We start from the raw sequence: 25,501 nt of genomic DNA, 5'->3' as shown, positions 1-25,501 counted from the left end.
CATAGGGTTGTGCAGCCGTCACCACTATCAACTTCCAGACCATTTTTATCCCTCCCAAGTAGAAACACTGCACCATGTTATGCCCATTCTACAGATGAGAAAACCGAGGCACAGAAAGATGAGGAAACTTGTTCAAGGTTATGCAACCAGTGTCTGGCAGAGCCCGTGTGTGAGCTCAGGTCATTTGGCTCAGAGCTGGTGCTCTTCACCTGCAGGAGGAGCTGGGTATTCTGTAGCCTCTAACTGAGAACCCATTCCGTGCCATGCTCTTTCCTTCGGCCATTGTAACAAGGCTGCAAGACAGACAACGATTGCTGTTCCCATTTTGCAGCTTAGGAAACCGAAGCTCAGGGAAGTTAGACAACTTTCTCAGGGTCACAGCCATGGTGAGCGGCAGAGCCAGCTTTTGACCCCGGGGTCTCACTGACCCCAGAGTTCACAGCAGAGTCGCAGAGCTTTCCTGGTGTCCAGCTTAGAGAGCACACAGTAGGTGCGCGGAGTGCGAGCTGAGCTGCCCTTCGAGATGCAGTTCCGAGGGAAGCCTAGGCCCGGGAGACCCCAGCGGGTCCTGCAGATAAAGGAAAGTTCTCCAGTCAGCCCCGGAGGAACGCTGATCCCGCTGATCCCGAGGCAGGGCCCGAGGTTCCTGTTCGGGGCCTCCCTGCTGTGAAGGAGTCCTGGACCCCCGAGAGGTCCATGGAATTCTGCAGGGGAAGGCCTGATATGGAGGCCTGTGGAAGTCACCGAGGAGCCCCTCTCATACCACCTCACACTTATTTCTTCAGGACTTCAAAGTGCCTCGCCGGGAGGAAACCATGGGGGTCTGCCTGAAGCTGTTAAAGTAGCCGGCAGGATTCGATGTGTGCCCTGATTGCCAGGGTAGGGGCGGGGGGTGTAAAAGAGAGAAAGATTATACACAGGCCTAGGAATGATGAAAGGTCTTAAGCAATGAGGGGGACTTGAAAAGAGGCGACCAACAGGTCGGCTGGTATGCCTGGAGACGGGAGGCGGTGCGTGTGGAGAGTAGCAAGCTGTGCGGAATGAGGCTGGGAAGGTGAGCCTGGAGGCCCTCCCTGAGGCTGGATTGTGGGAGGAGCGGTGGGCAGGACCTTGAACATGACCCTGCGAGGCGGGCCGGGAGGGGGCGTGGCATGCTGCGGCAGTGGGCGGGCTTTGGCTGGGGCTGGGCATAGTCACGGCAGTGGGCGAGGTGTCGCCTGGCCCCGCCCCGTGGGTCCCACCCCCGGGGTGCACCCCCCTCCCTGGAGCTCTGGCTGCGTGCTGGCTCCCAGAAGAGGAACCTGCTGCAGGCGCCGGCGCGGGCGGCGAGGACGACCTGTTTTTCTGACCCAGCCCGGAAGCGCTGGTGCAGGTGGTCTCTGAATGAGGGTTCCTCTTTGCCTCTGATGTCTGGAAGGGGAATTCAGCAAGAGGGACTCCAGTCTGGAGCTCTGACCCCAACTTCCTCAATCCAGGCCCTCAAAGAGGGCGGCCTGTGTCACCGGGCGCCGGATTCCCCGGGGGGTGCCCGGGGTTGGGGCGGCACATTCCCACCTGGAGTGCCCTCATGCCTGGCTATGCCGGACCTGCAGGGTCACACCCTCTCTCTGGACCTTTCCCTCCCCTGCACCCCCGCCCACGCCCCAGGCCCTCTGCTGCTTAAGCCATGGCCCTGGGTCTGTATCCTGACCTGGGCTGGTCATTGTTCTGCATTGGGTAGTTTAATTACAACTTTCTCTGCGCTTATCTGGTCTATGAGCTCGTGATCGCAGGGACCCTAGCACAGGGTCTGGGACTTACTGAGAGATCAGTAAATGTTCATGGATGGTGGACATGGGTGTGTAGGATGCCGGTCTCCTCCCCTGAGAAGGGGCTTGGGCAGAGGAGTCCCTAGTTCGCCAGGAGCAGCCTCGCCCCACCTGACCAGGCCTGGGACAAACCAACAGGTTGCTGTCCTGGAAGGAAAGGGGTGCCTCCTTCCACCTGGGGAGGCTGAGCTGCTTCTCTCCTCTTAGGCCCTGTGCTGCAAGGCGCCCATACCTCCAGTCCGCACCTCAGGAGTCCTTCCCGTGTCCTCTGGGAGTTCCTGCCCATGCTGGCTGAGGCCCCAGGTCTGCCTGGGAGCAGTCCCACAGAGGGAAGGTGGTGGAGGAAGGGGCAGGGATGCTGGCTGAGGAAAGGCCCTCTTTCCTACGATGGCTGTACCCAGGAAGCCGGCCGCAGGTTCCCTAAGCCGAGGCAGCGCTGGCTGTAGTTTCTCTGGGCTCCTGGGCTGGTGCACCTGCCCCTGCCTTCAGAACGGGCCCCTGTGCATGGCTGGCATCTGTGATTGGGGGTAGTGCGTGTTTCTGAGTAATGTGAAAAGAGCAGCTTCTTTGACTTCACCATTCCTAGAAAATGGCCTCAACTTGCTGGAAGAGTGGGGACAGAGGGTCTCAGTTTCTCATGTGAAGCTTGCAGGCCATTGTCTTCAGCACCCAGCATGTTTTGGGGCCTTTGAGGGACTTGAGGGGCTTTTTGAGGAACTCTGGGCATGGGGTTTTAGCCGAGGCTGAAAGTGGAGTTCCCAGGCTGCTGTGCTGAGTCCCAGCTCCCTGCAGCCTCCTGGGTCTGGCCACGTCCACCCGCCCTCCTCCTTTCTCCTGCAGTTGTGCCTCTTTTCCCTGCTGCCTCCTCAGCCAAGCCCAGGGAAGGACTTAAAGGGCAGTGGAGGGGGAAAGAGGCTGGTGGCCTTGATGCCTCTAGGCAGCCGCCTGTTCTCTGGGCTCTGGGCCTGGGTGCCCAGGGAGGATGAGTGTCAGTGGATTTATTTTGCATCAGAAGGAACAGACTGCTCCAGATGCCTTTTCTGGAGTGTTAGGACTTGGGGCAAAAGAGATGGGCCCATCTCCTGAGTTTAGTGCCTGGAGTTTGCTTTAGTGCTAAAGCAAGAAGTAAAAATGGGATTTAAAGAAACCAAATGGAATCACAGTCATGGAGTGTCAGACCTGGACGATGCCTTGGTGACGAGGTGACTCCCTTCCCTTGGCAGAGCAGTGGAAGAAACTGAAGCTCTGAGAAATTCAGGGATGTGCTAGAGGTTCCAGAACTAGGCCTGGAACTTTCTTCGGGGTTCAGTGCTATGCCCGAAACAGTGGAAGGAGCCCGCAGTGTGGCACAGAGCCCCTTCAGAGCTCCAGCAATCTTGAGCTTAGCGTATGAGTAGACCCTGGAAGCCAGAGGACTGCCTGCCATCTCCCCAGAGTTCTCAGGACCAGTGCTGCTGAGGTGATGCACTTGAAGTGTGTGTCCACAGTGGTCAAAAGTTAGCGCTGGGGCCCTGTGCCCTGGCTCCCACATCTCCAGGTCTGGCCTCCATCGGCCCCTCCCTTTCCTTTGTGGCCTTGGCCTTGGCTTATCAGTGTCTCTGCCAGGATGTCCTCATCCTAGAGGGTGAGCTGATAAGGCAGTCTCATAGGATGCAGGGTTGGAAGGTGCCTCAGGGACACTTCAGCTGAGCCCTCTGTGAAAACACCAACCCCTGCAGGAGGTGGCAGGCGGAGGGGCCCAGGCTGCACTCAGGCTGTAGGAAGTTTGTTTCTGTGTTTGCCCTCCCCATGGGCTGCACCATCCTCAGTGCAGGGGCTTCAGCTTCCACACCTAGCACAGTGCCGGCCTTGCTGGACACTCAAGAAAGGTGAGTTCCCTCCTGCTGGCTGCCTCCGCCGCTGTCTCACCAGCCTGGGTGCTGGGTGGTGCCCGCACTCCTGGTGTGCTGCCTGCCTGCTTGCAGGAAGTCCTGATGCCAGTGCACCCTTTGCTTGAAGAGCTAGTGAGCTCCCTGTGGGAGGTGGGGCCTCCTAACAGTCTCTCCGCACATCCTGCCCTGCTCCTCCCAGCTTCCAGATCATGGAGGATGCCCCCAGCTGCTGACTTGTACGCAGTGGCACTGCAATTTCCAGAAGAAACCTCAGACCTGAAGAATCTATCTGCCCAGGCATCTGCCCCTCCCACCCTGCTGAGAGTCCCTGTCCTCTCTGGAGCTGGCCTCCTGGGGCCCTTTTCCTCACTGTCATGGCCCTTGGGAGACTTTCCTTCTCCCTTCCCTAGGAGGAAGCCCTCAAGCCCCATGTCGGTGACCCTGGGGCAGCTCAGTGTTTCCTGCCTCAGCAGCTCTGCCCACCTCCAGTCCGTCAGCAGATTCTCCCTTGCTGGTCTGGCCTTTCGCTCCAGCAGTGGCAGGCACAGCTGCCCACGTATCTACTCCTGTGTCACCTGCAATCTTGTCCCAGAAAGAAAGGCTGTAAGGATGTTCTCATCTGCTCCATTCTCATGCTTAAAGGGCAGGAAGGACCGTGGGACCTCCCCTCAGGGTCAGGGCCTGATTGGACACAGTCACCAAAGGGCTCCCCGAGGGAGCTTCGTGAAAAATGCCTGATTGTCACATGGTCACAGAACAACATAAGCCATAATGCTATCGTACCATATACCACTCATTTCATGTACTAATTTCCTATTTTGTCGTATGGAAAATATTTGACAATGCCTCTAGGGGAACATTCGAGTGTGCACTGGGGGTGGTGCTGGTGAGTGCCTGCTGGAGTGATCTGTGCGAAGCTGCATGCTCACCCTTTCCCCCACCTACCCCACTTCCCTGAATGTTGAGACTCATTTAAAGTCGCAATTTTTTTTAAGTCTCCTTTGCTGAGTAGCAGAGTTTCGCCTTCCAAGCGTGGATGATCGATTCAGAAGTTCAGTTGTTCATTCATTAAATAAGTCAAATTTATTGAGCACCTACTATGCACCAGGTGCAATGCAAGATAGGCTGTGGGGTACAACAGTAAATGAGACTGGCACAGCCCAGTCCTCATGCAATTGTGGGTCCGTTGGTTTGAGTCCTAATTCTGCCATTCGCTCTGTAACCCTGGGCAAGTCATTTAATCTTTCTGAACTTTAGTGCTTTTATCTATAAAGTGAAGATTGGAATTCTTGCCTCACTGAGTTTTCCTGGTACATAGTTGACACTCAATAAATGGCAGCTATTCTTTTTACTATTTTCCAGGCCTTGAGCTTCCTTTTTTCTTCTCGCTGTGGAAATTGCCTGGAAAGCTATGAACTGTTGGTTCTTGAATCAGTTGGCTGCCCCGGATGTCTGAATCCCTTGGAAGGAACCTGGAGGAGTTGGCTGATGGGCTCCAGGTGCATGCCAGGCTGTGGATCTGCCGAGCTTCCTAGTGACCTGGAGTCTGAGCTGCAACTATGTTCTGTTCTAATTTCTGTGTCTCTGTATTCTTTGTAATTGGGCCACGCTCTTAGACAGCTAGAGCAATTAATGACCTTGAGAAATGATCCCAGCGCTGAATGCAGAATCCTGCTCTTTTGAAGTCAGCCACTTTCTTTGTGGGTCTAAACGTGTTTGTGTTTTCCCCTCTTGGGCATGTGCCTCCTCCTTCAGCTTTGATGCTGCCTCTATAACAACAGGGTTTAGAATTATTAATTCCTCTGCACAGCAAGGTGCAGTGTTATTATACAAAAAGGGGAAAATATAATTGCTATCTTGAGTAATCATTTTCTGAAGGCTGAAAGTGTAACCTTTAATTAATATTTCATCTGCAGCCAGGGTGGGTAACTTGAACAGGGCCTAAAAATATTCCTGTCCCAGTGCATGGAGAAATCATGAACTGTGCGACATGGAGCCAGTGTGTGCTATTGAATTGTTGGCAATTATTTCTAAAATTAAAATGTTTAACCACATTAACCCATAATAAAATGGGGGGAGAGCTATAGAGGTGCAACTCTTTACTGAGTAGGATAAATGTGCAAATTCCTGGCATAATTTGTCTCAGCCACCTGCATTGGGAGAGCCATCTCACCTGCCTGAGAAATGAATTTGGGGCCCAGGGGCCTGGTGGGCCAGGAAGTCACTGATCAAAGCTTGGCTTCCAGGCGGTGGCTGTGTCCACCAGGCACTGTGCGGGCTGGAGTTGGACTTCTACAGGTCACTGGGTTTAAGGGTGGGATGGGAAGCACTGTCTTTGGTGTTTTCCAGAGCGGGGCACTTGAGATGTTCAAAGTGCTTCCTGAGAGACGGCCAAAGGGTGTTCCCTGGGTGGCCTGGGAGTCCAAGAGACATGTACTCTGGGGCAGGAAGAGGGCAGGTGAGTACCTGGCTCAGGGTCTGCTGGGAGATGGAAGGAGGGAGCCAGTCAAGGGCAGGAGGAAACGGAGTTGCGAGTCATCTGGTGACCGACAGTGATTCTGGGTGACTTCCATCCCGGCCTTAGGGATTCCTCTGGATAGGATCACAGGGCTGGCTCTGGCGAGGGTACAAAAGTCCTTAGTCATGCGCATGTACATCAGCACAGCTTTTCATGGTATACGCATCATCTCACTGACAGGTGCTACCGGATCACCCTAACAACCCTCTGGGACCTGTGGCCATGTGTTCACAACAGCAGCCATTACAGGTGTTTCCTGAACTCTTGTCGCGAGCCTCTGTCGGCTCCATCTCATCGATCCTCCCAGCAACCCACAAGGAAGGTGAGGTTTCTTTACAGATGAGGAAACTGGGGCGTTTGGCTAAAGTTGTTGATTTGCCAGAGTCCCACAGCAGTGGGTGAGTTGGGACAAGAACTCAGTGGCCTGCTGGGTAGTGAGGACTGTGCAGAATAGTCTGGGTTTGGGGACCCCTGTGGGGCACATGTGTGAGGCTCGCTGCATGTTGCATTCGCTGGCCCTTCTGGATCTCCCTTGGGGTCCCCAGGAGTCCTCACCCAAACCTAGGACCCATCCATGCAAAGGGACACATCTCTTTATCAACACCATTGAGATGATTGAAAATCCTCCTGCTCGTAGGACCCTGGAGTTGCTGTGTTTCTGTGTTGGGCTTGTTGAGTCTCTCTTGAAAATAATATTGGCTGATGGGTTTATTGCCATTTTATTGATCACCAAGGGAATGGTCTCAATGATTAACCATCTTGAGATTTCTAGACATGTTTGCCAGCCCTGGTGTCGTCAGGAATGCCCTCAGCAGGGAGAAAGGCTGCTGGATGTGTAAATGGCCACCCCTCCTCCCCCGCTACCTGCTCCTCAAGGTGTAGGAGGCTGGAGAGGAGCAATTAATTTGATTTTTCTTTTTCTCTTTGGAGAGAAGAGTGTTCTGTGCCATGTACCAGGAAGCAGGGAAGAACAGGTGTGCTGACGACAGCTCATCTGCAATTCCCATGCTTTAGTTCACTCGATCTCACAGCAGCCCTGCCGGCTGGTGTTCCTATCCTTCCCATTTTATACAAGGGGAAACTGAATCCTTCAAGATGGGGCACCAGCCAGGGCACTCCCGTCAGTACAGAGAGCCAGGATTGGAAGCCTGCGGGGAGCCGACCTCCAGGACAGGCAGTGGCTCTCGGTCCCTCCGACCAACACTGGGACCTTGCTCTCCTCACTGTGTTGATGTGGGCTGCTTCTACCAGCTCCACTCCAGCTCATAAAACCACTTCTAAGAGGTTTAACAAGAGTGACTTCATTTTATTTTTCTCCCTTACTCATTCCTTTTTTAAAATTATAAAGCAATACTTGCTTACAAAAAGTTTAAGGAGTTTTCTTCCCTAATCATCTCTCAGAAGTAACCACGGTTAATAACTTGGTGTATAGTGTTCTTCCATGCAAATAGGAATCTTTAAAGATATATAGAGATATCTATACACATGTGACTTTTTATTGATACAAAATGAGCACATATAAGCATATATGTCACAGCAACTTTTGTAAAGGTCAAAGACTGGAAATACCAAACACGTCCCTCAAAAGGGATTCAGTGGAATAGATTATGATGCAGACATTTAATAGAATTATTGTTTGGTCATTAAAAAAAAGAGGCAGCTCTCTGTACAGATATGAGAACTCCTTACAACACATTGTTAAATAAAACATTGTATGCACATCATCAACCCACTTAATTTTCCATCACAGCTTCACAGAGAGGCAGATGCCACACAGGCCACCCACCCAGATGCAGAGCCAGATTCCCTGCGTGGACTGGACGGGAGTTTCCCAGCTGGAGTTCTCTCGGCCAAGCTGCCTGTGACATGGGGTTGGAGGTGCTCCAGAGAGTCATGGCCACCCCTGGAGGAAGTGACTTGTGGCTGACTGCTCAAGGGGAAGTCCTGTGGCAGTGGAGTCGTCAGCATTAATTCAAATAAGGTAAGTACTTTGGCAGGGATGGGGGAGGGGCTGAAAGGTCGGGAGTAACTGCGATGACCCCAAACTTGAACTGAAACCTCTGGAAGGGCATTGTATTCGAACTGTTTAAATGACTGCACGGAATCATCTCGTTTTTACATCAGCAGAAGCCTAGGTTCAGAGAGGTGAAGTGACTTGTCTGAGGTCACACAGCACGGTAGTGATTGGGCTAGGTCTGAGGGCCTCTCTGGGGGTGCATCTGAAGTCTCTGTGCCTCAGGGAAGCAGGAGGAGTGGAGATTGGGGCTGTGGCCAGGCTCTTCCCAGCCTTTCTAGGCGTCTCTCTCCTCTTCAGTGTCATCTCAACTTTCCTTTCCCTCCGTTTCTTCCTCCTCTGCCTACAACACTCTTAGTTTGTTCTAAATGCCCCCTTGTCAGAGTTGAGGAACTTGGGGTGACTTGCTGAAGACCCTGGGTGAGGATCCTGGCTTGATGCATTCTTCTTGGAACCCTTGGCTGTTCCTGGGGTGTAAGTGTGTGTGTATGGTGTGAGTGTGTTGTGTGTGTGCTTTGTGTGTGTGGTTTGGTGCCTGTGGTACGTGAATGTGTGTGCATGCACATGTGTGGTGTGATGTATGGAGTGTGTGCACAATGAGTGTGTATGGTGTATGTGCAGGCATGTGTAGAGTGTGCATGTGTGTGTAGTGTGAATGTGTGGTATGTGTATCTGCACGTGTGCAGGGTGTAGCTGGTGTGTGCTCACTTGTTTGTGATGTGCGTATATGTGCACATGTGTTCATGCATGTGTGTACTTGTGTGGGGTATGCCTGTGTGTGCCCGTGCATGCACGTGTGTTTATGTGTGTGTATACGTGTGTGCAAGAGGAAACAGATGGTGACTTCGCTACAGCATTGTTTAGCTGACCCCAGTGCAGGAGCTGCCCTCACCATCTGTGTCCCCCTTTTCGGCAGCCCCAGCCGGAGTTCTGCCTCATGCCACACGTGGGTCCATTCCCGCGGAGTCTGGACTCTGGGTTAAGAGAGGTAAGCGCTCAGAAATAGTAAACCACTGTTTTCTTGCCGGCTGTTTGCCCTTATTAATTCAGGTAGCAATTACCCATTCTGAATATTTGGCAACTAATTAGTTTTCCCGTGGAGATGGCAGAATGAGGAATGCTCTGCTCTGACCTGATCCACTTTCTCAGTTCCCGGGGGCGGGGGTGGGGGGGCTAGGGGAGGGAGGGCACCGAGCGTGGGAGTGAGAGCTGCAGAGAAGTCTCCTCAAAGCCCGGGATGCCCTTTAGCTGCCGGGGTCTTGGCTAAAAATCTTTAGGAGGATAAAAATAACCCACCCGATGTTGGTTTTGTTGGGGCTTTCATGTCACGGGCCCATTTCCTCTGTGGGTGCAGCTCCTGGCAGTGCGCCGGATAACGGAGGAGGTGCTGTCAGCGCAGGCTGAGGGCTGCTCTCCAAGCAAAGAGCCTCCTCTTTTGGGAACCGAGTCCCTCATTTGGACTCGGGATCCATAGGAGACTGGAACCTGGACTGCAGGGACCCGACGCTCAGGGTGAGGGCACCCCTCAGACCCCAAGAGAATGGGGCCTGTGGAACACGTAATTCGGGGACAGGTTGGAAGAGGCACTCAGATGACCGTCTGGCCGAGCTTAGCTGGGAGTTGAATCAGAGATCGTTTCTTAACAACCACTAAGCCCCTTGGCCAACATCTGGCCTATATTTGCCTTTTTAGCTCCTGAGCTTTCTGCTACTGGGAAGAGTTGTCAGTGACATGATCTGGTTCCCGGAGGCACCTCTGAGAAAGGGTTCTAACTGATAGGAGGGTGCATGGACCAAGGCCAGCTCAATCCAGCAGCCTCCTGCATTGGAACAGCCCTCGGGCAGGAATCTATTTTGGGGAAGTGGTAGATGGATGAGCCAACCCATTGCACTGCTTGCTATACCTTTTCTGGTGGTGGGGAGGGGGCTCAGACTACCGTGGGGAGTGAATGCAGTTCAGGGCACCACAGACCAGCCCGCTGGCGGGGGAGGCTGCCTCCAAACGCCTCCCCGCACACTATGTCTGCAGGGATGCAGAAGCCTGTGAGTCACAGGCCTTCTTTCTGCCCAGCACAGTCATGCATTTGTGTCTGTGAAAGGTGCTCTTTGCCCGATGGGGGCTAGGAGGCCTCCAGGCCGATGTCCCCACCCATAGCTGTGTTTTAGAGCCTTGTCTTAGCTGTGGGCAAGACTGGCTGCCCGCCTTCCTCCTTGGACACAGGTCCTCTCCAGAACCTGAGGTGGGCATCAGCATTCTCAGACTGGCACCGGCTGGCTGCATGCCCCCTCCTTCTTCTGTGTCCCTGACACTCAGCATGTACCTGTCCGTCTGCACGCAGCTGGGGCCGGCTCCAGTCAGCTGCACACAGTTTGCCCAGCTCACCTACTTATTGTAGTTCAAGGCCAGGGACCCTGCCTCCTGTGTGTCTGGGGTTTCCCCAGGGCCTAGCTTTCACTCTGGCGGCCCTAGCGGGTGGCCGATGCTGGGTCACGTATTCGGACTGGTTTCCCTAAACTGCGGCAGCTGCAGTTCCTGTACAGATAGGCTCAGCGAAAGTGCCGGAGCCTTGGGTTCAGACCTGGCAAGTCCCGGTTCTGCCGGTTGTGTGTGACCTTGGGCAAATTCTTTCAGCTCCAGGAACCTCGCTTTCCTGGCGATTGCTGTATTTTGGGGGTAGATGACACGCATATTTGTCATTAGAGAGAACCACATGCTCCGGTCCCCAGCGGCGTGCAGGGGCTTCAGGGAAGAGAGTGTGCGGAGGGTGACCTTTGCAGTTTGCAGCTGGACAAGTGGCTTTGGGCCTCCCTGTAATCCCTCACGTGTCTGTAGGGTGAGCAGGCGTCACTCCTTCCTCCCTGGAGCTGAGAGAGTTCTCCTGCTTTGGCCGGGAATGACCGGCTTAGAGCTGAGGTGGGGGTGACACCCAGGTGTTTTCCAGGTCACCCAAGGGACAGGGTTGAAACAAGCACCATCCCAGAATTCCCAGGCTGGGACGTGAAGTGGCTTTGCGGTGCAGACCGGCTGTCTCGCGACGTGGGCCACTGCTTGCTTCCTCCAGGCCACACCTGACCTCGGCCTAGGAGTGAGCTCAAAGCTGCACACACAATCCCTTCAGCTGGATTGGGAAATGCAAAAACACCAGGTGCAGGGCTGTCGGTTAGAGTTTCCATTTACATTACCTGGGGCTTTTCTGTCCGGCTCGCCCTTCCCCCACCACCTTGCACAGGCCTTCACTCCCACAAGCCCAGGGGGTGGCGGTTCTTCCCAGACAGTCCACCTGGGGAATGTGAGCACCAGGCAGGCCTGGCCTCCCGCTGCAGACAGGACACACAGCTTCTGCGGGGGACCTGGCTCTGGCTGGGGAATTTTGACCTGCAAAAGGCAGACAGCCATGTGACAACTGTGGAGGCCGGGATCCTCGGTCCAAACCCCTCATTACCTGGGTGGCCCTGGGCAAGTCAAACCACCTCCGATTTCTCCTCTGCACATGGGGATGTGAATACTTCCTTAGAGGCTAGTGGTGGGGATTAAATAAGCAAAGGATAAGAGAGGGGCCGGAACGGTGGTGCTTGATACGTGGTGGCTGATGTAATCATCACCCCAGCGTTCAGTGCAGGCTGTCTGCCTCTGGCTTCGCGGAGCTGGCACAAGTATCACCTCACTGAAATGGCATAACGCTCTCATAATGTAGACATTATTCTTCTTGTTCTTTCCATTTTACCAGTGAGGAAACTGAGGCACAAAGAAGTGAAATAACATGGCCAAGACGCAGCTAGTCAGCGGTAGAACCCGACGTTGGCATCTAGGCGTGCTGACTTCCAGCACTGTGCTGATGGACTCTGGGCGGGCTGAATTCCAGCACTGTGCTGGAGCTGTTCCTCTCACTCTGCTCCCTCAGTGGCCCCGGACGCCCCTGTGGGTCCCAGGCAGCTGGCATGACCCGCACGCAGAGCCTCGCTGTGGTTAGCATAGAGCCCTGGGGAGGCCAGCTCTAGACCCTGCTGCTCCATTTGCAGGTGGGCTGGGGCAGGAGAGGTTGTGGGGAGGGTGTGGGCTCCCAAGCCAGATGCACCTGGCTGTGCTTCCCAGCTGTGGCATTTACAACTGTGGATTTTGATTTTGTCACTAGTAAGGGTACAGTCAAGAGAAGCCACTAGGCTTAGGCTGTTAGCTTCCCTTCCTTGGACTTACCCAGGTTCCCCTTCTGTGAGCCTGGTTTCCTTCTATGCTTTCTTCATTCAACAAACCTTTCTGGGAAGCTTTTCCCTGTAAATCTCTGGACTAATGAGCAAGACTCAGTCCTCACTCGTCTGTTGAAGGGTGTGTGTGAGTGCATGTGTGTGCATGTATTTGTGTGCTTATGTGTTGCATGTGTGTGATATGTAATTCCAAAGACACAGGAGTAAAATAAGAGCCATCCACAAAGGCCAGAGGAGGGAAGCAGCAAGGCGCTTCCCAGCAGTCCTTGAGTGCAGACACTCAGGAAATGTTTGGAATGAATAGGAGGAAATCAAAGGAGGCTTCCTAGAGGAGGTGGCATTTAAGCTGAGGCTCACGGCATGAGTCCCGTTTTGATTACAGAAAGAGAGAGGCTGCTGTAGGAGCCAGACTCAAAGACATGGAAATACCTAGCCAGAGGCAGACGGCTCCCGAACTGCAGTCTAGCCAGGGTTCCATGGGGCCTTGTTTTGTCACAGGCTGTGTGTTGGGGTTGGGAGCAGCACAGGGTGAGTGAGTTCCTGGAGGAAAGTAATAAAGACCCATCTGTTTGTTCAACAAACATTTACTCGCTATGCACCCGGCCTAGTCTGCAGCTCAGTGAAGACCAGGATGAGGCTGTTGATGGAGCTGGCAGACTAGTGGAGGTGACTAACCCTGGAGCCACTTGGGGCCCCCACAGTGTCCCCGTGCTGGGGTGGGACTTCTGCAAGGCCCTGGGGGCCCTGAGCGGGGAGGGGGAATGGGAGAAGGAGGGCCATGCACAAGGGGTCAGGAAAGAGGGCATCACACAGCTGTGGCTTCCAGGCTACACAGGTGTTGTTGGGAGAGGCGAGGGAGGCCATGAGCCCAACCTATGGGGCCTCGATGTGGGGAGGAGAGAGTCGGTCAGCGTGGGGCAGCTGCTGGCAGATGGCAGGGGCTGGGCACTTGCCTTTTAGGGCAGCGGTGCTCATGCTGCATTGAGCTCAAGTTACCTGGGGAAAGTGCAGATTCGGGGTCCTACTCCCCTGAGACAGAGTCAGTGGGGGCCTGGGGATGTGGATTTTAGTTTTGTGGGTGTGTTTTTGGCACCCTAGGGAATTCTGACGTTAGTTCTTTGCTTAGTAGCCTGGGCAACAAGAGCGAAACTCTGTCTCAAAAAAAAGGAACACCTCTCTAGAAGCACTTCAGGCATCAAAGCTAGAAATTCTTTAAAGTCCATGACGCTGTTGCCTCTGCCTAGAACGCAGAGGCCCCAGGTAAGAGGCATGCAGGAGCATCACCGCGAACCCAGAGTTCCCACCTTCGTCAGTCTGCAGCCACCCGCTTATTTCCTTTCAGGTCACTCCATTTCTTGTATTTCATCACCTCTCTCCTCATTCAAGAAAAGAGTTTCTGATGGCTTATAAAGATATCACAATATATGAACATGGCATAGATTAAAAATGGGGTGAAAAGATGGCAAAACAAAGGCGGGCTCGACGCAGATGGGAAAGCAAGGCTGTTGCCTTGGCCGTCATTTCCTGTCCAGCTCCCATCATTTCTTTCGGAGCATCTGGCTACTTTGTGGGCTGTGTGAAGGATTCGGGGTCAAGCCGCCAGGGCTCCTTCCCCTGCAGAAAACCTCGCATCTCTATAGTAACTACAGCTATCAAATCCACACTTGGTTTGTTGAATGAAACGCGGTGCTTCTTAGTATGGGAGCAATGTCGAGGAAGTCTCGTCTGGCGACAGGAAGGGCTGCGTGCCCAGTGCCACCAGCGAGGTTTTGTGCCTGTGAATGCGGGCCCTGCGCTCGCTCGCTAAGCCAGCCCTGAATGGTCCGCACCGGCTGCAGGGCCACTTGGCCTCTGTGCCTGACCCAAGGTTCCCAGGCCCCGGGGCCCCCAGTTGCCAAGTCATCTCAGAAGGGGTTTTCCAGGAGCCTAAGGGGGCCCAGAGGCCCCCATGTTTTAGGGTGTTTGGTGGAAGGGGACTCAACCACATTGTGTGTGGTCCTTGGTGGAGAGAGATGTGTGCTTCAAGAAGAGCTTCAAAGCAGTGGACTCCATTGGAAGGGAGGCAGCTGAGGTTCTGGAATCTCTGTTTTGTAGATCTCTCCCTGCACACAATCTGCTTTCGTGTTCCTGATGGATTGAATCAAGAGTGAATGAGCTCCTACTTCGCGAAAGCAAAACAAACTAAACGCATCAACCACGACCGCAGAGCCCCCATCTCTCCCAGGAGGGTGAGCCCATGTTGTGTTTTCATTTGTCAGAAATCTATCTTAGGAAGCCATTCCTGAGATCTGTTCTAATTTAGGCCATTTTTAAAAAAAATAATGCAGTTGATTCTTTTCCCGTGATCTTTCTTTTCTCCATGACTTAAATTTCCCCAGGAACTATTCAAATGCCGCATCTGGGGTTTTGTTTTTGTTTTTTGATGAAGTCATGACTTTCTTTAAACAGTAATTATTAAACAAACCAAAGGGAAACCTTCTGTGAGGATGCTGTTTACAAATATCACCACTTTTACAATCAGTAATGGAGGTTGCAAAGTGCAGGATTCTGAGTTCCAGTGAGTCTGGGGAGTTGCTTGAGTCTTCCAATTGGTTCCTGCCTTGTCCAGAGGGTGGTTTCTCGCATGGGAAATGGTCTTCAATGCCCTTCCCTCCTCCTCCTCTCTCCTAACTCGATTTTTCCAGGGCTTTCATGTTTCGCTCCCATCGCAGGGTCGGGAATGCCCTGTGCTTGGTGACCATAGGGTGGTGAAGTCACCCTGCTCTGCTAGAAAAGGGACGAGTGCTGTGTTTTGGGTGGATGACCAAGGGCTCACTATCCCGGTGGCTCATTTCCTGGGGGCCTGTGGGCTGCCGGGAGCACCCTGAGGAGGACAGAGTGGAGTTGCAGCTGCCCATGCACTGCAGAGGGGACACGGGTGTTGTGCAGCATCTCGGGAAGGGCGTGGCAGATGTGGCAGGTGCATGGCAGGGCCATTCCATTCTGTCTGTTGCGGGACCCTCCATCCAGCTCAGGGCCGTGGATTGAACAGAGAGACAGGTATGGCAGTTGAAAAGCAAGGGTGCTCCCAGGTGAGCACTGGGGCTAGTTTTCCAGCTGGCAATGGGTGGGGTGTGGTGGTCAGAGGAGTGGGGTTTGGGTTGATGGCTGTGGCCTGGCTGTGGTGCTGGGAAGGGGTGATGGGAGATTGATGGGAGGTGGCACCCACGTGGGAGAGGAGTTGGCATCACAGCCATGCCCTCGGGGGTTGGCTGCTGCACTGACCCAGATTGGTGGGTGCTCCAGAGGGAGTGGTGAGTGGGAAACTGCACTAGGAACAAAGCTCTTCCTTCCTCCCGGCCCCTCTCCTTCCCTTCTTTCCTTCCTCTCTCCCCACCTCCCTCCTCGCTGTCTCCCTTTTGACCTCCCTCCTTCTCTTTCCCTTTCACCCTCAAAATGTGATCTGAGGGTCCCGGATGCTGGACTCATCTGGGACTGGGTGTGCAGGGTGAAATATGATCCTGTGGACTTTCTGAATTGGGATCCCGGGAAGTGTTCCTCATGGGTGCCCTGTTAATAGCACCTCTGCTGACACTGGAGTGTGACAGCCACCGTTTGAAGGCACAGCGGCCTCTTCCCCTGGGTTAGAGATGTACCGTGACTCCCCAGTCTCTGTTGAAGGCCACGTGTTACACGTTAGTGTCCTGTGGGATGAGCAGTGTATTGTCTGCTGCAGAGTGTAGCACCTTCTTGCCCTGTATTAGCCAGGGTTCTCCAGAGAACAGAACCAACAACATGTGTGTGTATATAGAGAGATTTATTTTAAGGATTTGGCTTACAAAATTACGGAATTGTGTAAATTCCAGAAAATCTGCAGGCTGGCCAGCAGGATGCAGATTGGGAAAGTTTGGGGCTGTGGTTCAAGCCCAGAGGCCTGGCAGGATTCCTTCTTGCTCGGGGAAGGTCACTCTTTAGCCTCTTCAGGCCTTAACCTGATTGGGTGAGACCCACACACACGATGGAAGGTCACCTGCTTTACTCAAAGTCCACTGATTTAAATATCAATCTCAGTCAAAGGCACCCTCACAGAAACATCGAGAATAATGTTTGACCAAATATCTGGGCATGGTGACTCAGCCAAGTTGACACATAAAATTTACCAACACAGCCCCTTATGTCTTTCAAATATCCAGAGGTTTCTCTGGTTCTAGAAGACCGCCATAGGCAAGGTAGGGGTCTCGACCCTGTGGAGCTACAGAAATGCATAAAGCCACGTGAGTGGGCCTGTTCTTTCTGTCAATCATTTGGCATAGAGTATCCATTTTGTGTCCATCATAGGCAAGTGCAAGCCTTATATAATGTTACCAACATAGATCACACCTCAGCATCTTGCTTGATGTGAGTGCTCATTTTTCCATCAAACCTATCCACCTACTTCCTCCCTCCCTCCCTTTTTGCTGTGATTCAGTCCATATTATTGGGCATCTAGCATATTCCAGGCACCAGGCCAAGCACTAGGCAATCAGAAATGGAGAAGACACATCCACTACTAACAGTGAGCCCAGAGGCCAGGAGGGCTGCAGGTGCAGAAGTCAGTCCACGGAAGGTTGGGGCCAGCAGCCTCCTTTCCCCTCTCTGAGCTTCCTTAGCAATGCTAGGTCTTAACACACAGTCCACAACAGTCCTGGGTTGTCCTGGGGACAACACCACATCTTTGTACCTGATGTACCTGTTCTTCTGTACAGAGGCGCCGTGTCCCTTTTGTCAAATTGCGGCCGAGGAGCAGAGCATCGGCATCACCCGGCAGCTGGTTAGAATGCAGCTGCTCAGGCCCCGCCCAGACCCATGAGTCAAATCTGCATTTTCACCAAATCCAGCAGGTGATTCCTGCACGTGTACGTCTGCTACCTGCTTCCCTGGTCTTCATCCCCTGCAATATGCAGAAATGTTTCCATGGAGAATTCCAGAAGAGTTGACAGCCTGGCCACAGGGCTGTTCTTGCGAGATTGGAATTTATTCCTAAGCCACACGGGGAAGCCTCTTCTCAGGCTTATGGGAGGCAGCCTGGAAGCCACTGGTGAAATGTGAGCTGGGAGTGTGAGCCTCTGTGCCTCCGCTGACTTCTGGAGGCATCTCGGGGAGATACGTCACTCCTCCAAGATTGCTTTCTCCTCTGTAAAACAGGGATAATAAAAAAAAATCTTTCTTTCTGGGTTGTTGGGAACACAAGCAGATCCACAGCGTGTGGAGGGCCTGCCCTGAGCCAGGTGTGGCTGCACCCTCATGACAGGCAGAAGGCTGCGCTGGAGGAAGCTGGAGCTTTGGGGCTGGGCCCCTTATCACCAACGCAGGGACAGTGCTTGCTGCACAGACTGTCCCTAGGACTAAGTGAAATTCTGTGAGCAAAACACCCTGAACCGTAGCGTTATTTTTATAACAATCGGCTTGTGTAACTGCCCTGTGTGCAGTGCCAGCCCTTGACTCATACCCAGAGACAGGTGGGGGCAGGTGGAGGAAGGGACCACTGTTGGCTGAAGCAGTGTCTTCTAGATTGTTCAAAGAGGCACCATTCACCTTAGCGTACTCAGGCCTAGATTTCTGAGAGTCCGTAAGAAGGTGCAGAAGTTAATGTGCCATGTTGCTAAGTAGATTTCTTTTTAAAAGGTGTTCTCTTCTAAGGTAGCGACAGATGTGAGGGTTGCTATGGCAACAGGTGTCTGTTTGGAGAGCACCGCACAATAGGTGAGATGGCTCACCAACAATTTATGGTCACGGAAGGTGAGCTTCCTCCCAGGAAATTTTAGTGACGGATCACCTTGCTCTGGGTTTACATTTTCCGAAGCTGGTTTTATTTTGTGCCTTGGGAGACTGGGCAGGATGGGGAAGCCTTTGTGTGGATTCAGAGCAGACTCCGTGCGCAGCAGATGGTCAAAGGGTCAGAGTCTTTTCAAGAATTGAAGGAGATTAAAAAAGAGCCTTGAAAAATTCGATGGTCTAAGATCCTCCGAGAACATTTCACCAGCCTGCAAATTTCTTTGTAGCAAACAGCACTGCAATTTTGCAGAGTTAGGAGTAGAATCTGTAGTTGGCCACAACTTTATTCTTTCCATAGAACAAGTCTTCAATGAGTGCCTCCTGGGTACATTGAAGGTCATGTGCTGGGGAGGGGACCAAGGTGGCATGGCAGGATATGAAGATGAATAAGACCTGGGCTCTGCCCTTCAGAAGTCAAGGTGGGAGAGACAGATGGACATAGGCCGATTGTGGAGAGGCTTAAGCTGCTATGAACGTATAGCTGGGGTGTAGTGGATGAATTTGGAAAACTTGGCTGGGGATCATGGAGCATCCTCAGTGTGGGGTTGAGGAGTCTGAACTCTCTCCCTCTGGAGACTTTTCTTCTGGGAATGAGATGTGGTCAGCCAGGCCCATCGTGGTTAGCAGGTGAGGGCAGCATGGGAGGGAGAGGACAGGCAGGGGGCTGGAGGACTCTGTCAGGGCAAAAGGTGACGGATGGGCACCAGTCCTCAGTCCTGCATGCCAAGACTGTCCAGGTCCCAGCTAACAGCCTGGGCTCTGCTGGTTCCCCAAAGTCCTGGGAGTTTGCTGTCTCTTCTAGGCCTGGGTCAGGGTGGAGAGGTGGTTCTCTGCAATCCCCCCAGAGGGCTTCCAATCTTAGCCAGAGGGGAAGGCCATTGGTGAAGTGCCTGGGTCCCGAGTTCTGGGCCAGAGCCCTCTTGTGCATCTGCCGGGCACCTTTCTCATCCCAGACATTCTTCTCCTGGTGGGTTCCTGGACCCCAGTCAGCTCTGGCCAGGATCAGATTCCCAGGCCTTGCTCTCTAACCAGGCTGGCCCATCCTCGCCTGGAGCCACTGCCCAGAGACCCAGCATGGCCCGTGGATGAACCCCAGGGATGTAAGCCTTATTGGACTGAGATAGGAGAGCCAGGAGTAGGAACAGAGGAGGATGTGTCCAGAGCCTGCTGGAAAGAGCCGTCATCCACAGGAGCCCCCTGGAAGCTCTGCTGCAGCACCTGGCAACCTCTGGTGCAACAGCCACGTGACTAGACACAAGCTGAACCCCAGAACAGGGCAGGGAGCCAGATGGGCACCTGAGCTGTGGATCCTCAGCCCTGTCTAAGGAGGACACAGATGAGACCGCACGGGAGGCCGGGCCAGAGGGGCTCTTCTCGCCGTGGATTCTGCACCCTCCTCTGCTTCCTGCCCATCTGCACTTGGCTGCACCAGTGGACAGCGAGCCCTGGAGAGCCACGGAGCACCCATCTGTTCTGGGCAGGGCATGGTCTCAGCTTGCTCCCCGCCTTCCCCAGCCATAAAGTAGAGATAAATCGTACCTGCTTGGGCTGCCTCAGTTCACCCAGGGGGTGATTTAATGCAAAAGATTTGAAAGCTCTAACTAGGATTCCACTCCATGGGATTTGAAGGATGAAACAAAAACATTTATTTTGTTCCAGAACATAAAACTGATACATGTTTTCAGCATACAATTTGGAAAATACACACAAAAAAGAGAAGATAGAACAACCCATTATGCCAGTGCTCAGATGCAAACGCTGTTCATATTTTGTAATATTAACTGCCATTCTTTTCTCTGTGTGTAGACACACATTTCTACCTTTTATTTCCTTTGGTCCAAATAGGATCATAGTTCATGAACAGCTTTGAAAACATTTCTTTTCCATTTAACAACACCTTAGAAACATGTTTTCTTATCAAACCTTCGGATGTAACATCATTTATGATTGCCTGTAATTTCATCCTATGTATGGGTCCCACATTTTGTTCACTGGGTGTCTTCAATGCTCCTTTAGGTTGCTTCCAAATTGTCTCTACTGTGAGCAGTAGTGCAATGACTGGTTTTGCTGTGTACCTCTGCCTTTTGAACTGTACAGTTGTAATAGGAGATATCTTAGTGTAGGCAGAGTCTTCATTCTAGGGAAATGCATGCCCAGGTCTCCCTGTCGCCTCAGGCCCGGCCCACCCATGCTTCATGCTGAGCACGTGCTGGTCTTTGTCCTGGCATTTTCCGCGCTCTGTGTCTTTGCTTTGATTTTTCTGTGTCTCTTCTGTCTTAAATGTGAAAAAAGGTGCCCCTGCTTCTGAGAACAGAGAGAACCAAGTGACAGGCCCCGAATTTCCTGGTGCACCAGTGAATGGCCACTTCGCTTGCTGTCCGTGAGCTGATCGTGAAGCTGGATGGTTTTTAACCTGGGCCAAGCCATGGGTTGTCCCCGCCTTTGTCCTGTGATGCTTTCTTCTCCTGCGCCAGCACTGAGCTCGTCTTCCAGGGCTTGCCTCCCACTGTGGTTCTATCTATTCCCCAGCGCAGGTGTCCTCCTAGCCACTGATTTGCTGGTCACAGATGCAAAGACCCACCCCTGGAGGGTGGAGGCCCTCCCTGAAGATGGCCCCACCCCGGCAATGCCATTTCCTGCCCAGCATTCAGGACTCCATGAAGCAGAATTGTAGGGTGCATGCTGGTGCCTTTGAGGGGCAGCCTTGAGTCTTCCCCTGAGAGTGTCCCCACCAGGCAGAGGGAAGGAACAGGAACCACTGTTCACTTGATATCTGTTAGGACCTAGGTCCTGGCCTGGGCACTCACCTGCCCTCAGATTCGGGCTGCCTTGTCACACTGCGGTCAGAGATGTGTCAGGTGGACCATAGGATGATGTGTCAGCAATTTCTAACCCACAGATCTAGACCCAGCAGCCCCCTCCAACAGGTTTGGGAGGCAAGTCACCCAGCACACAACTCAGCTCAGACAGACTTGGTTTGGATGACAATGGTGGGAACCATCACACAGCCAGCTGCATGAGGCCAGCAGGCAAACTTCTCTAGTCCACGGGCCGGACTGGCTATGCAGGTTCAGCAAAATCCCAAATCCCGCTCTCTGGAGCAGACTCCCATTAACCCTGTGCACAGTACTGATATATATGGCAGATGTCAGCTTATTATTACTGTTAGTATTCTACCATTTTATTGAGGCCTGACTGACATATGAAGGCTGTCCATATTTAATGTATACAACTTGATGAGTTTGGAGCTAAGCATACCTCTGTCAAACCATAACCACAATCTACACTGTAAACATTTCCACTGTTTCCAAGAGTGTTCTCCTCCCTTCTTTGCTTATTGTATCATGTTAAATATTTTTTTGTGACAAGGCTGGGCAAGGTATGGCTCACGCCTGTAATCCCAGCACTTTGGGAGGCCGAGGTGCGTGGATCACGAGGTCAGGAGATCGAGACCATCCTGGCTAACACGGTGAAACCCCATCTCTACTAAAAGTATAAAAAATTAACCAGGCGTGGTGGTGGGCACCTGTAGTCCCAGCTACTCAGGAGGTTGAGGCAGGAGAATGGCATGAACCCAGGAGGCGGAGCTTGCAATGAGCCGAGATCGTGCCACTGCGCTCCAGCCTGGGCAACAGTGCAAGACTCCATCTCAAAAAAAAAAATAAATTTTGTGACAAGAACACTTAACATAGATCTATATTTTTAGTGAACATTTAAATAGACAGTACTGAACGATGTTGATAATGCAATACTGAACAATATGAGATACTGAACGATATTGATAATGACAGGCACTAGACTGTACAGTAGACCTCTAGGTCTTATCCGCCACACATAACTGAAACTTGGTGCCCTTTGACCAACCCCTCCCTGTTTCCCTGTCCCCCGGTCCCTGGCAACCACCATGCTACTTTCTGCTTCTATGAGTTGGACTATTTCATTCATAGATTTTTTCCGCTTACTGAGTTATCATTGACAAATATTGTATAAATTTCAGGTGCACAACATGATGTTTGATACATGTATACATTGTGCAAGGGTTACCACAATCTAATTTACTTATCCATCACCTTATATAGTTAACTTGTGTGTGTATGTGGAGACAACTTAGGGTCTACTTACTATCTTAGCAAATCTCACGTATACAATACATTAACTCTAATCACCATGCTGTACATCAGCTCTCTAGAACTTATTCATTCTGCATAACTGAAACTTTGCATGCTTTGGCCAACATCTCCCCATTTCCCTCTCCTTCCAGCCCCTGGTAACCACCATCCCACTCTCTGCTTCATTTCTGGCTTATTGCACTTAGCATAATATCCTTCAGGTTCATCCATGTTGTCCCAAATGATAGGATTTCCTTCCTTTGTAAGGATGAATAACATTCCCTGCTGTGCATATGTGTGTCTATCAACTCTTCCTTATCCACTCATCCATCTGTGGACACTGAGGTTGTTTCCATGTCTCTGCCATCGTGAATAATGCTATAGTGAACATGGGAGTACACATATCTCTTCAAGACCCTGATTTCAAATCCTTTGAATGTATATCCACAAGTGGGATAAGTGGATCCTGTGGTATTTCTATTTTTAACTTTTTGAGGAACCGCCATACTGTTTTCCACAGAGGCTACACCAATTTGCCTTCCTGCCTACAGTAACAAGGGCTCTTTCTTTTCCATATCCTTGCCAATACAACCTTTTTTTTTTTTTTGGTAATTGCCATCTTAACAGGTGTGAGGTGATATCTCACTGTAGCTTTGCATTTCCTTGATTATTGGTGATGGTGGGCACTCTCATATACCTGTTGGTCATTTGTATATCGTCTTTGGAGAAATGTCTACTCAGATAACTTGCCTATTTTTAAATTGGGTTATTTTTGCAATCTACTCATCTGACAAAGGGCTAATATCCAGAATCTACAATGAACTCAAACAAATTTACAAGAAAAAAACAAACAACCCTATCAAAAAATGGGCGAAGGATATGAACAGACACTTCTCAAAAGAAGACATTTATGCAGCCAAAAGACACATGAAAAAATGCTCATCATCACTGGCCATCAGAGAAATGCAAATCAAAACCACAATGAGATACCATCTCACACCAGTTAGAATGGTGATCATTAAAAGTCAGGAAACAACAGGTGCTGGAGAGGATGTGGAGAAATAGGAACACTTTTACACTGTTGGTGGGACTGTAAACTAGTTCAACCATTGTGGAAGTCAGTGTGGCAATTCCTCAGGGATCTAGAACTAGAAATACCATTTGACCCAGCAATCCCATTACTGGGTATATACCCAAAGGATTATAAATCATGCTGCTATAAAGACACATGCACACGTATGTTTATTGCGGCACTATTCACAATAGCAAAGACTTGGAACCAACCCAAATGTCCAACAATGATAGACTGGATTAAGAAAATGTGGCACATATACGCCATGGAACACTATGCAGCCATAAAAAATGATGAGTTCGTGTCCTTTGTAGGGACATGGATGAAGCTGGAAACCATCATTCTCAGCAAACTATCGCAAGGTCAAAAAACCAAACACTGCATGTTCTCACTCATAGGTGGGAATTGAACAATGAGAACACTTGGACACAGGAAGGGGAACATCACACACTGGGGCCTGTTGTGGGGTGGGAGTAGTGGGGAGGGATAGCATTAGGAGATATACCTGATGTTAAATGACGAGTTACTGGGTGCAGCACAGCAACATGGCACATGTATACATATGTAAAAAACCTGCACGTTGTGCACATGTACCCTAAAACTTAAAGTATAATAAACTGGGTTATTTATTTTGCTATTGAGCTGTAGGCGTTCCTTATATATTTTAGATATTAACCCCCATTATCAAATATATGGTTTGCAAATATTTTCTCCCGTTTTTTAGGTTGCTTTTTCATCTTGGTTATGGCTTCCTTTGTGGTGCAGAAGCCTTTCAGTTTGACACAATCCCACTTGTCTAATTTTAAGTCTTGCTCTATTTTTGTTGGTCTGTAGTGTTGTTTAAGTCTGTTGTTTCCTCACTGATTTTCTGTCTGAATGATCCATCTATTATTGATAGTATTGAATTATGCTATTATTGCATTATTTTCTGTTTCTGTCTTAAGACCAGCCTGGCCAACATGGTGAAACCCCGTCTCTACTGAAAATACAAAAATTAGCTGGGTGTGGTGGCAGGCACCTTTAATCCCAGCTACTTGGGAGGCTGAGGCAGGAGAATCACTTGAACCTGGGAGGTGGAGGTTGCAGTGAGCCAAGATCTCACCATTGCACTCCAGCCTGGGGGCAATAGTGAGACTTCATCTCGAAAAAAAAAATTTGTACATGTTTACTTTATAACTTTAGCTGCTATGATGTTGGGTGCATATACATTTATAATTGCTATATCTTCTTGTTGAATTGACCCTTTTATCATTATGTAATGACCTTCTCTGTCCCTTATGACAGTTTTTGACTTAATGTCCATTTTCTGTGATATAATTATAGCTACCCTGCTTTCTTTTGCTTACCATTTACATGGAATATCTTTTTTCCATCCCTTCACTTTCAGCTTCTGTATGTCCTTAAATCTAAAATGAATCTCCTATAGATAGTATATAGTTGGATCTTGTTTTTTATATATATATCCAGGCTATATCTTCTGGTTAGTGAATTTAATCCATTTATATTAAAGTAATTATTTATAGCTAAGTACTTACTATGACCATTTTAAAAATTGTTTTCTGTTTTGTAGTACTTTTGATTCTTTCTTCCTCTCTTGTATATCTTGGTGATTTGATGATTTTTTTGGTCATGATATACTCAATGATTATATTATCTTTATGGTATCTACCACAGGTTTTTTTCTTGTGGTTATCATGAGGTTTGCATAACATTTTTTATAGTTATAATAGTCTGTTTTAAGCTGATAACAACTTCAATTACATACAAACGCTGTACACTTTTACTGCTCCCCTCCTTCACTTTATGCTATTGATGTCAAAATTTAATTTATATTGTGCATTCATTAATAAATGTTTATGGTTATAGCTATTCTTTAGACTTTTGTCTGTTAACTTTTAGACTTGGATTAAAAATGATTAAGCAGGCCAGGCATGGTGGCTCATGCCTGTAATCCCAGCACTTTGGGAGGCCGAGGCAGGCAGATCATGAGGTCAGGAGTTAGAGACCAGCCTGGCCAATATGATGAAACCCTGTCTCTACTAAAAATACAAAAATGAGCTGGGTGAGGTGGCACACCCCTGTAGTCCCAGCTACTTGGGAGGCTGAGGCAGAAG

The 25,501-nt window shown here is 50.8% G+C and overlaps 1 long non-coding RNA gene across 1 annotated transcript, besides 8 other annotated features; it reads left to right on the top strand.

Moving 5' to 3' along the window:
• Positions 1-679: an enhancer, noted in NCBI's record as "NANOG-H3K27ac-H3K4me1 hESC enhancer chr2:8724540-8725218 (GRCh37/hg19 assembly coordinates)". NCBI's record gives its function as "activates a minimal SCP1, AML or CMV promoter by ChIP-STARR-seq in naive H9 embryonic stem cells {active_cell/tissue: H9 hESC(naive)}" and the evidence as "EXISTENCE:reporter gene assay evidence [ECO:0000049][PMID:30033119]".
• Positions 680-1,359: an enhancer, noted in NCBI's record as "NANOG-H3K27ac-H3K4me1 hESC enhancer chr2:8723860-8724539 (GRCh37/hg19 assembly coordinates)". NCBI's record gives its function as "activates a minimal SCP1, AML or CMV promoter by ChIP-STARR-seq in naive and primed H9 embryonic stem cells {active_cell/tissue: H9 hESC(naive and primed)}" and the evidence as "EXISTENCE:reporter gene assay evidence [ECO:0000049][PMID:30033119]".
• Positions 680-1,406: a biological region, named in NCBI's record as "NANOG-H3K27ac-H3K4me1 hESC enhancer GRCh37_chr2:8723860-8724539".
• Positions 1,037-1,406: a silencer, noted in NCBI's record as "silent region_11125". NCBI's record gives its function as "represses an Ori minimal core promoter by ATAC-STARR-seq in GM12878 lymphoblastoid cells {active_cell/tissue: GM12878}" and the evidence as "EXISTENCE:reporter gene assay evidence [ECO:0000049][PMID:35858748]".
• Positions 1,297-25,256, top strand: LINC01814 (long intergenic non-protein coding RNA 1814). The gene is made up of 6 exons (NR_110257.1): positions 1,297-1,372; positions 5,042-5,178; positions 6,378-6,519; positions 7,948-8,178; positions 14,508-14,641; positions 17,138-25,256. It is a non-coding gene; the product is annotated as a long intergenic non-protein coding RNA 1814 (long non-coding RNA).
• Positions 10,097-10,146: an enhancer, noted in NCBI's record as "active region_15272". NCBI's record gives its function as "activates an Ori minimal core promoter by ATAC-STARR-seq in GM12878 lymphoblastoid cells {active_cell/tissue: GM12878}" and the evidence as "EXISTENCE:reporter gene assay evidence [ECO:0000049][PMID:35858748]".
• Positions 10,167-10,216: an enhancer, noted in NCBI's record as "active region_15271". NCBI's record gives its function as "activates an Ori minimal core promoter by ATAC-STARR-seq in GM12878 lymphoblastoid cells {active_cell/tissue: GM12878}" and the evidence as "EXISTENCE:reporter gene assay evidence [ECO:0000049][PMID:35858748]".
• Positions 10,237-10,436: an enhancer, noted in NCBI's record as "active region_15270". NCBI's record gives its function as "activates an Ori minimal core promoter by ATAC-STARR-seq in GM12878 lymphoblastoid cells {active_cell/tissue: GM12878}" and the evidence as "EXISTENCE:reporter gene assay evidence [ECO:0000049][PMID:35858748]".
• Positions 12,589-13,168: an enhancer, noted in NCBI's record as "H3K27ac-H3K4me1 hESC enhancer chr2:8712051-8712630 (GRCh37/hg19 assembly coordinates)". NCBI's record gives its function as "activates a minimal SCP1, AML or CMV promoter by ChIP-STARR-seq in naive H9 embryonic stem cells {active_cell/tissue: H9 hESC(naive)}" and the evidence as "EXISTENCE:reporter gene assay evidence [ECO:0000049][PMID:30033119]".
• Positions 25,257-25,501: the final 245 nt, after the last annotated feature.

Source organism: Homo sapiens, chromosome 2 (assembly GCF_000001405.40).
Source record: "Homo sapiens chromosome 2, GRCh38.p14 Primary Assembly".
In the NCBI taxonomy this organism is placed as follows: domain Eukaryota; kingdom Metazoa; phylum Chordata; class Mammalia; order Primates; family Hominidae; genus Homo; species Homo sapiens.
This window is presented reverse-complemented; position numbering and strand designations above follow the sequence as displayed.